This window comes from Homo sapiens, chromosome 3 (assembly GCF_000001405.40).
Source record: "Homo sapiens chromosome 3, GRCh38.p14 Primary Assembly".
Taxonomy (NCBI): Eukaryota; Metazoa; Chordata; class Mammalia; order Primates; family Hominidae; genus Homo; species Homo sapiens.
The window spans coordinates 113,816,321-113,833,544 of NC_000003.12; the positions used below are offsets into that span (position 1 = coordinate 113,816,321).

The 17,224-nt window shown below is 43.1% G+C and overlaps 1 protein-coding gene across 1 annotated transcript in view, besides 1 other annotated feature; it reads left to right on the forward strand.

The window, feature by feature from the left end:
- Positions 1-11,871: 11,871 nt before the first annotated feature.
- Positions 11,872-17,224, forward strand: part of GRAMD1C (GRAM domain containing 1C) — a 118,983-nt gene continuing 113,630 nt past the window's right edge. The window contains exon 1 of the mRNA XM_011512930.2: positions 11,872-11,959. The gene's annotated coding sequence lies outside the window, so the exon portion shown is untranslated. The remainder of the gene's footprint in view (positions 11,960-17,224) is intronic.
- Positions 14,578-14,727: an enhancer, noted in NCBI's record as "active region_20263". NCBI's record gives its function as "activates an Ori minimal core promoter by ATAC-STARR-seq in GM12878 lymphoblastoid cells {active_cell/tissue: GM12878}" and the evidence as "EXISTENCE:reporter gene assay evidence [ECO:0000049][PMID:35858748]".

A 17,224-nucleotide genomic window follows, 5' to 3' on the forward strand; every position in this document is an offset into this window, starting at 1 on the left:
TTAAATGTTTCAGTTCAGGCACTTTCAATTCTCTTTGCAATCAATAGCTTGCTTTGTTGGATAGCTGACCTGGATTTGGGGAATAGTCTGTCCTTGGAACACAGTCATAGAATGCATAAACTGTTGTCTCTTCACAGTGCTGTAGCCAGTTGCATACAAATACGTACTCAGGTGTCCGTGAATACATATCACAGCCCCTAAAGCAGCAATGGATGGCTGTTAGAAACAGGTTTAATGTTTTAAATAATTATACATCTTAATTAGATGTTTCCCAAACTTGTCTGAATGTAAGAAACATGGAATTGTGTTAATACGGATTCCCAGGCCCTGCCCCAGACCAACCTGAATTGGAATCTCTGGTCTAGGGAAAGGGTAGGGGAATAGATTTAACAAGCATTCCAAGTGATTCTTACCATGGGGCAAGTTTTGGGAAACAACTATCTTTATTCCATGCTTAGCTATGAAAAATAACATGAGGCCGGGCGCAGTGGCTCACGCCTGTAACCCCAGCACTTTAGGAGGCCAAGATGGGCGGATCACAGGGTCAAGAGATCGAGACCATCCTGGCTAACATTGGGAAACCCCGTCTCTACTAAAACTACAAAAATTAGCTGGGCGTGGTGGCACGTGCCTGTAATCCCAGCTACTCGGGAAGCGGAGGCAGGAGAATTGCTTGAACCCCAGGAGGCAAACGTTGCAGTGAACCGAGATTGCGCCACTGCACTCCAGCCTGAGTGACAGAGCGAGACTCCATCTCAAAAAAAAAAAAAAAAAGTAACATGAGAGACTTAGATTTAAATAAGCATTCTCCCAAATGTTGACTAGTTTTATCATAATCTCAGCATTATAAGATGTTGCAGAACCATTTATCCTTTAAGATGTTCCTTGGTACTTACCTTAAACTGTGCTCTGCTGATTCACATGTATTCTGACTCATTTAGACTCAGAATAGCCTGGCACTCAAAGTTTTCCTAAATCATGAAATTTTAGCAATAATAACTGTAATGCCTATGGATTTTAAACAGGATTCTATTACAGTAGTTTCAGGTATTTTACTGAATGAACCAACAGGTTTTTTTCTGTCCATTTCTCTATACATAGGAGATTTTAAAAAGGAATCAAAATTCTGCAACATATTTTGATGTTGTTATACACAGGCTTAGCTTGTGAACATAATTATAAAGGAGTATAATTTAGTTCCATTTTAAAAAATAGCATTTGTTGGCTATGCACAGTGGCTCACATCTGTAATCCCAGCACTATGGGAGGCCAAGGCAGGTGGATTGCTTGATCCCAGAAGTTCAAGATCAGCCTGAGCCACGTACATAGTAAGACCTCCTCTCTACAAAAAAATTAAAAATTAGCTGGGCATGGTGGCACATGGCTGTAGTCCCAGCTACTTGGGAGGCTGAGGTGGGAGGATCACTTAAACTCAGGAGGTCAAGGCCACAGTGAGACATGATCATGCCCCTTTATTATTATTTTTTATTTTTATTTTTTGAGATGGAGTTTCGCTCTTGTTGCCCAGGCTGGAGTGCAATGGCGCGATCTCAGCTCACCGCAACCTCTGCCTCCTGGGTTGAAGCAATTCTCCTGCCTCAGCCTCCCGAGTAGCTGGGATTACAGGCATGTACCACCATGTCTGGCTAATTTTGTATTTTTTAGTAGAGATGGGGTTTCTCCATGTTGGTCAGGCTGGTCTCGAGCTCCCGACCTCAGGTGACCTGCCTGCCTTGGCCTCCCAAAGTGCTGGGATTACAGGCGCGAGCCACTGCACCTGGCACATAAAATCATATTTATGGCCTTAATTTTTAAATTGCATGTTTTATTTTAAAGTCTTTATAAAGCCCTTTTGACATTTACCCTTATATGATTTATGACAGTATTTCCCCAAGCATGGAATTACAGGTTGAGTTTTCTGGAAGCAGATGAACTTCCAGAGCTCATCTAGGTGGAGCTTGGGATGCAAGTTGTTAACTAGCAATAAACAACTTGGAAAGGAAGGGAGCAAAAGCAGGGTTGGGCAGAAAATAAGTAAAGTACAAAGCAGGCCTGACAGACTTGTCCACTCCTAGGCGGAACCTCTGGAGTTTGCCAGAGTTGACATGCATCAGCCTAAAATGGCCTGGCCTTTACACCTGTGCCTCTCTTGGTTCCCAGATTCAAGATACCTGTGAGAATGTCATCTCAGATTGGGTGGTTTTCAGCAACTGTAGAGTAAGAAGGAGCTGATAGCTGGAGGCTGTATGCTGACCATACTCCTGGCAGCTGGGCAGCAAGCCTTCCGCAAAGGGAAACCTGCACAGTGTACCTCAGTGCTGTGAGATGGTTTTAGGAAAGAGGCAGATGAATAGTATGCATTTTAATGTATAGAGGCAACATTTAGTAGTTTAAATCCATGATTTCAAGGATTTGCTTAAGGAGGCAGCCAAACTATTCAATATTTTTAAAAGTGATTCATTTTTAAAGAACACTATTAAGTACATAAAATCACAGAAGTAAAAAGATATGGCAAAAATGAGGGTGGTTTTCAAATGACAGAAATTTCAGCAACCCTGCTTGTAAGTCAAAAATCGGACTGACTGTTTTAGTATCAGTTAAAATAAGTGCTTACTGGCCAGGCACAGTGGCTCATGCCTGTAAGCCTAACACTTTGGGAGGCAGGGGTGGAAGGATTGCTTGAGTCCAGGAGTTCAAGACCAGCCTGGGCAATATAGTGAGACCCTGTCTCTATTAAAAAAAAGTTTTAGGCCGAGCATGGTGGCTCATGCCTATAATCCCCAGCACTTTGGGAGGCTGTGATGGGAGATCACGAGGTCAGGAGTTCAACACCAGCCTGGTCAACATGGTGAAACCCCATCTCTACTAAAAATACAAAAATTAGCCATGCATGGTGGCATATGCTTGTAATTCTAGCTACTTGGGAGGTTGAGGCAGGAGGATCACTTGAGCCTGGGAAGCAGAGTTTGCAGTGAGCCGAGATTGTGCCACTGCACTCCAGCCTGGGTGACAGAGCGAGACTCTGGCTCAAAAAAAAAAAAAAAAAATTAATTAAAAAAAATACAAGTGCCTACTGAATACCTTTAGAAGGATTCAAGGTAAATGTTAGCCTTGTATTATATAGAAATTCATCATCAAATGCAAACCTCTTCAGGAAGTAAGTACTTCAAAATTAATAGAACATATTTCTTGATATTTGAATCATAACCTGTTGGCATTAACTTTGATTAAACTACTGCCAAATAAGTTTTTGGTTTTGCTTGTTTTTTGTTTTTTCTTTTTGAGGCAGGGTCTCACTTTGTCACCCAGGCTGGAGTGCAGTGGTGCCATCTTGGTTCACTGCAGCCTTGACCTCCTGGGTCAAGGCTCAAGTGATCCTCCCACCTCAGTCCCCCAAGTAGCTGGGACTAAAGGCGCCTGTCACCATGCCTGGCCAGCGAGGCTCTGTCTCAAAAAAAAGAAAAGAAATATTACTTGTAATAGCCCCTGCTGGTGAAATGCACATATTCCCTTTGCCAGGCCAGTTCACATATTCTGATGGAGTATTGGCTGATAAGAATTCGCAGCAGCATATTTGTACTGAAACTTGCCCTCAACTAACAGCAGCTGCCACATCTGGCTAGGCCTGGAAGCTGAAGCCCTCTGTTTTCCCCACCCACACACCCAACTGCACCCAAATCAATATGAGGGTATCAAAGACCAGTCCTCTTGCCTCAAGGTGACACCAGTCTGTGATGCTCCAGCGCTCCCTGTGGGACCAGGCTGAGGAGAAACTTCAGTTGCACCCACATCAGCATCTTCTATTTCTCCTTCTCTCTGCTACTTTCCTCACTCCCTTATGAGTTTCACCTGAGCAGCACGTCCTCAATAAGCCACTTTCACAGGAATCTCATTCTCAGGCTCTGTTCCTAGAGAACTGAAATTAAGACATTTCCTCTTCCACAAAATTCTCACTGAGCAGAAATAACTACTGTGATTTTTACAGTTATATTGAACAGAATCATAGGGTTGTCTTGTTCCGGAAAGTTCTCACTAAAAGAAGGCCTTCAAGTGATATATTAAGAATGTATTAGGCCATGAGCTGTGGCTCACGCCTGTAATCCCAGGACTTTGGGAGGTCGAGGCGGATGGGTCATGTGAGGTCAGGAGTTTGAGACCAGTCTGGCCAACATGGTAAAACCCCATTTCTACTAAAAATACAAAAATTAGCCGGGTATGGTGGCAGACGCCTGTAATCCCAGCTATTCGGGAGGCTGAGGCAGGAGAATCGCTTGAACCTGGGAGACAGAGGTTGCAGTGAACCAAGATGGTGCCACTGCACTCCAGCTTGGGTGACACCCTGTCTCCAGGAAAAAAAAAAAAAAAAAGAATGTATTATTTTGGGCCAGGTGCAGTGGCTCATGCCTGTACTCCCAACACTTTGGGAGGCTGAGACAGGTGGATCACTTGAGATCAGGAGTTGGAAACCAACCGGACCAACATGGTGAAACCCCATATCTACAAAAAATACAAAAATCAGCTGGGTGTGGTGGTGGGCACCTGTAGTCTCATCTACTTGGGTGGCTGAGGCAGGAGACTTGCTTGAACTTGGGAGGTGAAGGCTGCAGTGAGCCAAGATTGTGCCATTGCACTCCAGCCTGGGTGACAGAACGAGGCTCCATCTCGAAAGAAAAAAAAAAGCCAGGCACGGTGGCTCACGCCTGCAATCCCAGCACTTTGGGAGGCTGAGGCGGGTGGATCACAAGGTCAGGAGATCGACACCATCCTGGCTAACACAGTGAAACCTTGTCTCTATTAAAACTACAAAAAATTAGCCAGGCATGGTGGCGGGCGCCTGTAGTCCCAGCTACTCAGGAGGCTGAGGCAAGAGAATGGCGTGAACCCGGGAGGCGGAGCTTGCAGTGAGCGAGATCAAGCCACTGCACTCCAGCCTGGGCAACAGAGCGAGACTCTATCTCAAAAAAAAAAGAAAGAAAAAAAGGAAAAAGAAACATTGTATTCCAAAAAAAAAAAAAAAAGACAGAGAGAGAGAATGTATTATTTTTTCATTAAGATACCTACCCATTTTGAACATTTTTGCATCATTTTATAGAAAGCTTCTTCAATGTGTCAGCCTTCATTTTGAGAGAATTAAGAATTCAAGTCAGCTCCTTCCTTCGTTCCTTCCTTCCTTCCTCCCTTCCTTCCTTTCTTTCTCTCTCTCTCTCTCTTTTGTGATATGGGCTTGCTCTGGGCCCAAGCAATCCTCCCACTTCAGTCTCCCGAGTAGCTGGGACTTCAGGCATGCACCACCACCTCTTGCTAATTAAAAAAAAAATTTTTTTTTTCAAAGACAGGGTCTTGTTATGGTGCCCAGGAGGGCCCACATCTTTTTCTCCAATGTCTTTCTTCTATTCTAGAATTTGATTCACATATAGATGCTGTTTTCCAAAGGTTGTACTTATTTTTATTTTATTTTATTTTTGAGATAGGGTCTTGCTTAGGCTGGAGTGCAATGGCATGGTCATAGCTTACTGCAGCCTTGACTTCCCAGGATCTAGTGATCCTCATGCCTTAACCTCCTGAGTAGCTGGGACTACAGGCACACGCGACCATGCCAGGCTAATTTTTAATTTTTTTGTAGAGACAAGGTCTAACTATGTTGCCCAGGCTGGTTTCAAACTCCTGAGCTCAATCAATCCTCCCTCCTCGGCCTCCCAAAGTGCTAGGATTACAGGCTTCTCAGTCACACTACCAAATTTTTCTTTTTTTTTTTTTTTTTTTTTTGAGACAAAGTCTGGCTCTGTCACCTAGGCTGGAGTGCAGTGGTGTGATCATGGCTTACTGTAGCCTCGGACCTCAGGCTCAAGCAATTCTCCCACTTCAGCCTCCTGAGTAGCTGGGACTTGCCACACCCAGTTAATTAAAAGATTTTTTTGGAGAGATGAGAGCTCACTATTTTGCCCAGGCTGGTCTCAACTGTCAATCTCAAGCAATCCTCCTACCTTGGCCTTCCAAAGTGTTGGGATTACAGGCATGAGCCACCATGTCCAGCCTAGTATCATTTTTATTTTGCCTAGATACCCCTTTTTTTTTTTTGGACAAGGCCTTACTCTGTTGCTCAGGCTGGGGTGCAGTGACACGATGATGGCTCACTGCAGCCTTGACCTTTCAGGCTCAAATGATCAATCTTCCCACCTCAACCTCCTGAGTAGCTGGGACCACAGGCACGTACCACCACACCCAGCTAATTTTTGTATTTTTGTAGAGACAGGGTTTTGCCAGGTTTCCCAGGCTGGTCTTGAACTCCTGGACTCAAATAATCCTCCTGCCTTGGCCTCCCAAAGTGCTGGGATTACAGGTGTGAGCCAATGCACCTGGCCTATACTTACGTTTAAATGCACCATTGTGTGATCCAAGGAAAGATACTCATGAATATTTATATTCTTGCCTCTGCTTCCAACAAACGTAGCTACTCAAAAAATACTACACATTTTATATTTTATATATTTTTAGCATGGGTTTCTAATCACAATGAACACAATTTCTATTTTTATGTTTAGTTGGCTGAATTAACACTTATCCATGAATTATAACTGCTAAATTGCTAATAATCTCGCTAGAGATTTTTATTAAATAATACTCCTGTGGCCTATAAGGTTCAATTAAATAGAGAATGTCATTTCTAAAAATGCCTAATTTTCAGGAAGAGTATTATGTAAAGGAAAACATTGTCTCAACATGTTTGGTAATTTCTTTTTTTTTGAGATGGAGTCTTGCTCTGTTGCCCAGGCTGGAGTGCAGTGATGCGATCTCGGCTCACTGCAAGCTCTGCCTCCCGGGTTCATGTCATTCTCCTGCCTCAGCCTCCCGAGTAGCTGGGACTACAGGTCCCGCCAACACGCCAGGCTAATTTTTTGTATTTTTAGTAGAGACGGGGTTTCACCGTGTTAGCCAGATTGGTCTCGATCTCCTAACCTCGTGATCCGCCCGCCTTGGCCCCCCAAAGTGCTGGGATTACAGGCGCGAGCCACCGCACCCGGCCATTAATTTCTAAATTTAATTACGCTATCAATAGTTTATTGGAAAACATTTGCTTATTTATTTGTAAAGGCAAAGCATTTTTACTTAAAATAGCAATGCTAAAATTGAGAGGTTGGTGGATATCATTGAGGCAGAAAGGAGAGGAATGAGAGAGATGGCAGGTCAAATTTAGGTAGGTTAATTTATTTAACACCATAGGTTATAGTGCAACATTAGATAATATAAGGCATCTCATTTCAGAAATTGACACAAGTTGTATTTAAATAATTTATAGTTTAATGAAATGTGAATCTGGAAATCTAATATCCTTAGCAAATGACCTAGGAACTCTCTCAGTTTGTACTTTTCTCTTTTCACTCTAACACTGGCTTCTATTTTGCACATATCCTTATTTTACCAGCCTTAAACTTTGTTCTGTTCAGTGGATCTCATTCTATAGTCCCTGGAAATTTTATCCCTTTCTCTACCCAACTTAACTTAAGCCCGCTTTGTTTGTTTGTTTGTTTGTTTGAGATGCAGTCTCGCTCTGTTGCCAAGGCTGGGGTGCAGTGACACTATCTCGGCTCACTGCAACCTCTGCCTCCAGCCTCCCAAGTTCAAGTGATTCTCCTGCCTCAGCTTCCAGAGTAGCTGTGATTACACGCCACCATGCCCAGCTAATTTTTGTATTTTTTGTAGTGACGGGGTTTCGCCACATTGGCCAGGCTGGTCTCCAATTCCTGACCTCAGATGATCCTCCCACCTCGGCCTCTCAAAGTGTTGGGATTACAGGCATGAGCCACTGTGCCCAGCCTAAGCCTGTTTTTCTATATTGGTTTTTTCCTTTTAAGATATATATATATATATGTGTCTGTATATATTTATCCTACAAAAACTATTCAAATCAAAACAAAAATGTTTGTCAATCCAATACTCAATAAGCAACATTTAAATAAAAACATAATTACTTTCATTGTTTATTTACTTAAAAATATTTATTTTTTAAGTAAATGTTTATTTACAGAAAAATATATAGTATTAACATGGACAATTAAAAAAAACATACATATGTATGTACCCATCACTCAGATTAAGAAATAGAATATGGGGCCGAGCATGGTGGCTCACGCCTGTAATCCCAGCACTTTGGGAGACCAAGGTGGGTGGATCACCTGAGGTCAAGAGTTTGAGACCAGCATGGCCAACATGGTGAAACCCTGTCTCTACCAAAAATTTAAAAATTAGCCAGGCATGGTGGCGCATGCCTGTAATCCCAGCTACTTGGGAGGCTGAGGCAGGAGAATTGCTTAAACCCCGGAGGCAAAGATTGCAGTGAGCCAAGAATGCGCCATTGCACTCCAGCCTGGGAGACAGAGCAAGACTTCATCTCCAAAAAAAAAAGAGAAAGAAATAGAATATTGGAGTAACATAGAAGCCCTCACCAATTGCAACTCTCTTCCTTCCCCAAAGATAAACATTACTCTGATTTTTGTGTTAATCAGTGCCTTGTTTTAATTTATAGATATGTCACCTATGTTCCTGTGTAAGCAAAGGGTGACTGGTGTCACTATCAGATTTTTAAAGCCTTTCAGGAGAAAAGAAACTGATCATAATCTGGCGTTAGGTTCCCGGAGAGTTAATAAACAGTCTTTTTTTAGGGAAGTCAGTGAGCAGGAGCCTTCAGGAATCCTGGAAAGCCTAGGACTCAAGCAGACTTTGAGCACCTGGACCAGATTCTGGATGTTTGGCAAAAATATGGTCAGAGAAAATGGACTGTTCTGTGTTTTCTGCTTCTAAACCCATCATAGCTACCTCTCGTTCTCAGGAGTAAGTCAAACCAGAAATCTGTGGGGTGAAGCAGCAGAGCATGGAGGGAGAATAGGAACTTCACAAGCAAAGTACACAAAAGATTCTGAACATGACTCATAGGGAAATTCTGTCTTCAGCTAAAAAGAAGATAAATGGCAATAGGGATCTTGGTGATGACAGCACTCAATCAGCTTGTCTCTTGAGTTGCATGGCTCCAATCTGGACTACTTGCCTTCTATGTCTAGTCTGCAGCTGTCATTCTGGGATCTACCACTTGGGGAATGCCATCTCTATCCTAGTGCTTGTTTTTCATCGCCCACATTTTATCTTTACTGGTTTCTTAATGAGCTGTTTCTCCAGTAGCTTGTTTCTTAAGTAAGGTGGGTGGCATATTTTTTGAGACATATACATCTGAAAATTAAAATTGCCTAGCAGCATGGAGACAAGGAGATGACCTAGGGATATAACTGCTTTTCAAACAGCTTTGACCTGGCCAGAGTGGTGGCTCATGCCTGTAATCCCAGCACTTTGGGAGGCTGAGATGGGCAGATCACCTAAGGTCAGGAGTTTGAGATCAGCCTGGCCAACATGGCGAAAACCCATCTCTACTAAAAATGCGGGCATGGTGGCGCGCCCCTGTAAATCCCAGCTACTCGGGAGGCTGAGGTAGGAGACTTGCTTGAACCCAGGAGGTGGAAGCTGCAGTGAGTCAAGATGGTGCCACTGCAACCCAGCCTGGGCGACAGAGTGAGACCCCATCTCAAAAATAAAAAAATAAAAATAAAGCAAGCAGCTTTGACCTGAGTCCTTATTTTAGCTACAATTCTACTTCTTTCCTTATTTAATCATCAGTGTCACAGGTATTTTGGTGTTGTCTTCCCATGTTTTTTGGGCATTCTGAGGTGTAAATCAGCTTGGTCCTTGGTTGTCCTAGAGGTCATTTTGGAAAGTCAGTGGGCAGGAGCCCTACAGGCAGTCCTGGAAAGCCTAGGACTCACCAGACTTTGAGCACCTGGACCAGACACTAGATGTCTGGCAAAAATATGGTCAGAGAGAGTGAGTTTTATAATTCAGTTGCAATTCATTCCCCTGCCTTTCAGCTTACAAGTTTCTTGCTCTTGCTTCCTCTCCTGTTCTGTCTGTCCACAACTCCTTTTATTGCAATTTGGGTGGGTTTCAGGAAGGAACAAAGTTAGATACATATGTGTACACACACACACACACACACACACACACACACACACACACACTCACACACACACATTTTAAAAATTTTCCTAGGGATGGATTGCTGTGATGCCCAGGCTGGTCTTGAACTCCTGGCCTCAAGCAATCCTTCCATCTGAGCCTCCCAAAAGCTAGGATTACAGGCATGACCCACTTCATTAGGTCTATAAAGATATGTTAACTCACTATTTATGGGTTAGCAAAACTAGAAAAAAGTGATAAAAATTAACAATGACATTTCCCAAGGATCTATACTAAAACTAGTCATACTGAACATTTAACAAATTTGAAAGAGTGAAGTTTGTAAACTCCTTCAAGCTCTTTCTAATATTGAAATGTGAGTTACAGAGCTGTACTTCAGGAACACTCTACTTAGTGAAGGGGCAAAAAGTGGCATACCATCGGTAGCCCACCTCTGGGCCTCCTTGGGATAAAATAAAGAGGTGACCCTAGGACTGCTGCATGCTTCTGAGCACCCTATCTATTTCCTCAGCACTCATTTCTTCCCCACCAGCCCTGCCCTTAACTCCAAAACTCCCTCCCTAGTGCGTTGTGGAATTCAGGATCAGACATGAACAAAATCTTTTTTTTTTTTTTGAGATGGAGTCTTGCTCTTTCACCCAGGCCGGAGTGCAGTGGCACTATCTCGGCTCACTGCAAGCTCGGCCTCCTGGGTTCATGCCATTCTCCTGCCTCAGCCTCCCGAATAGCTGGGACTACAGGTGCATGCCACCACGCCCGGCTAATTTTTTGTATTTTAGTAGAGGAGGGGTTTCAACACCATGTCGCCCAGGCTGGTTGTGAACTCCTGAGCTCAGGCAATCTGCCTGCCTCGGCCCCCCAAAGTGCTGGGATTACAGGCGTGAGCCACCGCACCCAGCCAACAAAATCTTCTATAACCTAAGTTCTTTGAGTTTTCTCTGAAAATTCTCTAAAAATCTTTCTTCATCTTGTTCTAACTCAAGGGTGTCCAATCTTTTGGCTTCACTGGGCTGCATTGGAAGAAGGATTGTCTCAGACCACATATAAAATACACTAACACTAGGCCGGGCACAGTGGCTCATGCCTGTAATCCCAGCACTTTGGGAGGCCGAGGCAGGCGGATTGCCTGAGCTCAGGAGTTTGAGACCAGCCTGGGCAACACGGTGAAACCCCGCCTCTACTAAAATACAAAAAATTAGCCGGGCGTGGTGGCATGCACCTGTAGTCCCAGCTACTCAGGAGGCTGAGGCAGGAGAATTGCTTGAACCCGGGAGGCAGAGGTTGCAGTGAGCCAAGATCGCACCACTGCACTCCAGCCTGGGTGACAGAGCGAGACTCCATCTTAAAATAAAATAAAATAAAATACACTAATACTAATGACAGCTGATGGCAAAAAACTCTCATAATATTTTAAGAAAGTTTACGAATTTGTGTTGGGCTGCATTCAAAGCTGTCCTAGGACGCATGTGGCCTGTGGGCCACGGGTTGGACAAGCTTGCACTGATACTTGGTTTTCCCCTGAAACTTGAGAGGAAACGGCTTTCCCTGAAGCCCTCTCAAGTGGTGTCTGTTTCCTCTCCCACACCATCATATCACTTGTAACTTCCCATTGATCTGGCCTTCTTTGATCCTGGCCTCCATTGGCCTCCAATCAATAAGGCCTCCATTGATCCTGGCCTCTATCATTCATGCCCTGTGGAGTCACCTCCCTCAGTGAATCAGAGCTGACTGACCCCAATAGAATGCGGTGTAAATGATAGTCTATAACTTCCAAGGTTAGGTCATAAACGGCACTGTAGTCCTCACCTTGGTATCCTGGATTACCTGCTCTGAGGAAAGGCACTGCCATGCAATGAGGACTGAAGCAGCTCTGTGAAGATGTCCATATGGAGAGGAATTGAGGTCCCAAACCAATAGCCAGTACCAGGTGCCCGGCCATGTAAGTGAGACACCATAGAAGTGGATCCTCCAGCCACTATCAGGTCTTCTGATGACTGGATATCCACTTGATTAAGGGCAACCTCTGAAAGCCCATGAGCTAGAACTGAGGAGCTGAGCTGCTCCAGGTTCCTGACCCACAGAAACCATGAAATAATGAATGATTATTGTTTTCAGCCACTAAGGTTTTGGGTGATTTGTCATGCAACTATAGTAGCTGGAGCACCAATGGGCCCAAGAAAAAGTGATTGTCTTCTTTTTTCCTATTACTTCCAGACTCTTTTCCTTCACTCTTCCCTAACACTCTATCTTTGAATTTCATGTCAGAACACTATGCCACCAGTTGCCTTTTCTTATTGGAGTCATCTATAAACTCACAATCCATGTTCCCTTTTTCATTGAAGATTTTTGCTCCTTGCTCATGTCGCTTTCTTCTACCCTACTCTTTCTGCACTTGGTGATTTCAATAGCCACTAAGGTTATACTTTCAATTCCTGGTTTCTTAGTGCCTTGTCCTCTGCCCCAACAATCTGAACCACCACTCCTGTCAGCCACCCACTCTCATGCTCATATCATAGAACTTATCATTATAACTGCAATTTGTCCACAATCTCAGTTTCAAGTACCATTTGTATCTTTCCAACTCATCACTTCTATCACCAGCAGTCCTTTAATCTCAACTAGATTTACAAACATTTAATCCTCACACTTTCATTGGCCTTGACACTCTTATGACCTTATTTTGCTTCTTAACCCTGCTTGGACTCCAGGGGCAATCATTATTGCCAAATCCTTGCATACATACTTATCTCCCTTGCTTCTCTTGTGACTTAGCGTACTTGCCTGGTAAAAATCAACCTTAGGCTGGGTGCAGTGGCTCACATCTGTAATCCCAGCACGAGGGAAGGCCAGAACAGGAGGATCATTTGAGGCCAGGAGTTAAGACCAGTCTGGGCAACATAGGGAGGCCCAGTCTGTACAAAACAAACAAACAAACAAACAAACAAAACTCCCCAAAACCTAGCTGGATGGGGTGGTGTGGGCCTGTGGCCCCAGGTACTTGGAAGGCTGAGGTGGATCACTTGAGTCCAGAAGGTTAAGACTGCAGTGAACAGTGATCATGCCACTACACTTTAGCTTGGGTAATAGAGAGAGACCCTGTCTCAAGAAACCCTCCAAAACCTCCAACTAAATCCAACTGTGTCCATTCTGTGTTTGCATTTGTGCAACTACAAAAAAAAAATGACACAACTGTGGAGGGTGGTTTCACTTTATTTATTGAGTTATAATAGTTTTTAATTACTTGAAATAAGAAAGTTGCAAGAATAGTGCAAAGGCTTCCCATAAAACTTTTACTCAGATTTTCATGTTTGCTTTATTTATTATTCTCTCTTGGCACACAATTTTTTTTTCTGAAACATTTGGGTGAGCTAGATCAAATATATCAGTGTACAAAGTCATACGTCACTTAACAACTGGGATATGTTCTGAGAAATGCGTCATTAGGCAATTTTGCTGTTGTGCCAACATCCTAGAATGTACTTAAAGAAATCTAAATGGTAGAGCCTACTGAGGTGATGTTGTTGTCTGGGGTAATACCTGAGGTTCGTTGTCCCACGGTCATGGAAAACAAGGACGCAGACAAACCAGGGTGAGGTTCAGAGCAGAAGTTTAATAGGCGAAATAAAGAGAAAAGCTCTCTCTGCTGCAGAGAGAGGGGCCCCAGAGAATATGGGTTGCTGCTTCCATGGTGAAATGCAGAAGGTTGAATAGATGATCTTGGGGAGGTGGTATCTGATTTATATAGGGCACAAAAGATTGGTCGGACCAGGTGTGTCATTTGCATAGCACACGAAGAACTGGTTAGGACTAGGTGTGCGGTTTGCACAGCATGCAAAGAAGCTGGCCACTCCACCCTAATCTTTTATTATGGAGATGGGTTCTCTACATGGCCAGGCACCATGTTGCCTGCCTCTTTACTGTACACGTGGTGACAAAGAAAAGAGAAGAGGACCCTCCCTGTTGAACATGCCTGGCATCCAGGTAGCCCTTTTCTATTGGCACTGAGGCTGGCATTCACCTGTGCAAGCTTTTTAGCTTGCTTATCTATGTTTGCGGCTTGATTTTTCAGGCTGCTCTTTGTTAGAAAAGAAATGTTTTGGTGGCTGCTTTTTGTTAAAAGGGGAGTTCCACCGAGGACTCTTACCCTTACTATCTGCCTAAATTCTATCTCCTGTATTACTACTACACACTTAGGCTATATGGAATAGCCTATTGCTCCTGAGCTATAAACCTGGACAGCATGTTACCATGCTGAATACTGAAGACAGCTGTAACACAATGAGAAGTATTTGTGTATCCAAACATAGAAAAAGTACAGTAAAAATATTGTACTATAATCTTATGGGACCACTGTTTTCTTGTGGTTCACTGTTGAATGCAGTGACTGACACATTGTTATGCAATGCATGACTGCACTTCCTAAAACAAGCACATCCCCATACCTAACCATAGTACAATTATAACAAACAGGAAATTGTATGGGCATGGTGACTCATGCCCGTAATCCCAGCACTTTGGGAGGCCAAGGCGGGTGGGTCACCTGAGGTTAGGAATTCGAGGCCAGGGTGACCTGTAAAAACCCCATCTCTACTAAAAATACAAAAATTGGCCTGGCATGATGGTATGCACTTGAGACTACTCCGGAGCATGAGACAGGAGAATTGCTTGAACCCAAGAGGCAGAGGTTGCAGTGAGCTGAGATCGCACCACTGCACTCCAGCCTGGGTGACAGAGCAAGACTCTGTCTCAAAAAACAAAAACAGGAAATTAACACTGAGTCAATACTATAATGTAACCTACACTTTATTCAAAGTTTTCCAGTTGTCCCAGTAATGTTCTTTATAACAACAACAACAACAAAATGTTTCTGGTTCAGGATCCAAGACAAAATCGCACATTGTATTTAGTTGCTATATATCTTTAGTGTTCTTTAGTATGAAAGAACACTTCAGTCTTTCTTTGCCTTTTATGAGTTTGATGTTTTTGAAGAGTTCAAGTAATGTCCCTCAATTTCAGTTTGTCTGTTTCCTCACAATTAGATTCAGAGTATGCATTTTTGGCACTGTATATTGTTTTGCACCTTACTTTTTTTTAATGTGACAAAATTTTTTGTAGATCTTTATATATCAGTGCATAAAGAGTTTCCTCATTCTTTCTTGGCCATTACTTCTTCAAATATTCTTTCTTTCTTCTCTCCTGGAATTCCCATTTTGTATATGTTGGTCTACTTGGCAGTGTCTTACAGGTCTTATGGGTTCTGTTCATTTTTCTTCACTTTTTTTTCTTTCTGCTCCTCAGACTGAATAATCCCAATTGACCCACCTTCAAGTTGCTGATTTGTTCCTCTGTCTGCTCAAGTCTATTTGAATTACTCTAGTGAATTTCTCATTTCAGTTATTGTATTTTTCAGCTCCAGAGTTTCTATGTGGTTCCTTTTGTAATTTATATCTCTTTATTGATATTCTTCATTAGGTGAGACATTGTTCTCATGGGTCTCTTTTGAATTTGATTTCTTTTAGCTCTTTGAGCATATATGAAATAGTTGATTTAAAGTTTTGTTTGCCTAATGCTCAGGCTTCATTAGGGGCTGTTTCTATTATTTTTCTCTGTATATGGGTCAAACTGTCTTGTTTCTTTGTGTACCTTATAATTTTTTGTTGAAAACTGGACATTTTGAATATTATAATGCAGCAACTTTGTTTTTTTTGAGACAGAGTCTTACTCTGTCGCTCAGGCTGGAGTGCAGTGTGCAGTGGTGTGATCTCGATTCATTGCAGCCTCCATTTCCCCAGTTCAAGAGAGTCTCGTGCCTCAGCCTCACGAACTACAGGCACCCACCACCAGGCCTGGCTAATTTTTGTGTTTTTAGTAGAGATAGGGTTTCACCATGTTGGCCCGGTTGGTCTTGAACTCCTGACCTCAGGTGATCCACCTGCCTCAGCCTCCCAAAGTGCTGGGATTACAGGCATGAGCCACTGTGCCTGGCATAATGCAGCAACTTTGAAAATCAGGTTGTACACCTCCCCAGGTTTTACTGTTGCTGCTTATTTTAGCATTTATTTGTGGTTTGTTAGTATCTTTTATAAACTACTTTTTTATGTTATGGTAAAATATACACAAGATAAAATTAACCATTTTATCCATTTCAAGTATGGTTCAGTGACATTACGTGCATTTATATTGTGTAATGATCACATCTCCAGAACTTTTTCTTCACCCCAAACTGAAACTTTGAACCAGTTAAATAAAGCCCCATTCTGCCCTCTTCATAGCCCCTGGAAACCACCATTCTACTTCCTTTCTCTATGAATTTGACTACTCTAGGTACCTCATACAAGTCAAACTAATTTTGTAAAGTTTGTATTCTTTGTTTTATGTGGCCACATAAGTCTCTGTTCTGTCAGATTAGAAAAAAATAAAAACCGAGGAAGAAAAATACATACAGAAACAAGCAATTATCTTCCAGTCTTTGCAGACTGGCTTTCTGTGTGTGCTGGGTATGCCTGTAACACCCAGCCAGGCAGTTTATATCTCTGCCTTAGCCGAGCAAAAAGTCAGCCAGAGGTGGAAGTTTAGGGCCTTCTTAGGTCTTTTCTGAGCATGTTCCCAGCTTTGGGCATGGATGTGGCCTTCTGGATTCCCAGGAATTTGTGAGAGTTTTTCAAAGCCCTTATTCAGATTGTCCATTGTTTGCCTGAACTGTTATCCCTTGCCCCAAGTGATACTGGTAATATATTTGCCTTCAAATTTTTTCTTTTCTTTTCTTTCTTTCTTTCTTTCTTTTTTTTTTTTTTTGTGTGTGTGCGTGTGTGTGTGTGACGAGTTTTGCTCTTGTTTCCCAGGCTGGAGTGCAATAGTGCTGTCTTGGCTCACTGCAACCTCTGCCTCCTGGGTTCAAGCAATTCTCCTGCCTCAGCCTCCCAAGTAGCTGGGATTACAGGCTTGTACCACCACGCCCAGCTAATTTTTGTATTTTTAGTAGAGATGGGGTTTCTCCATGTTGGTCAGGCTGGTCTCGAACTCCCAACCTCAGGTGATCTGCCCCCTCAGCCTTCCAAAGTGCTGAGATTACAGGCGTGAGCCACCATGCCCGGCCCAAATGTTTTCAATAAATACTCTACCTGCCCCCTCTACCAACATTCCCCCACCAACACCTGCCCAAGGCAGGTGTCCTACCCTTGGAAGAGTTCTGAGATAAAATAAG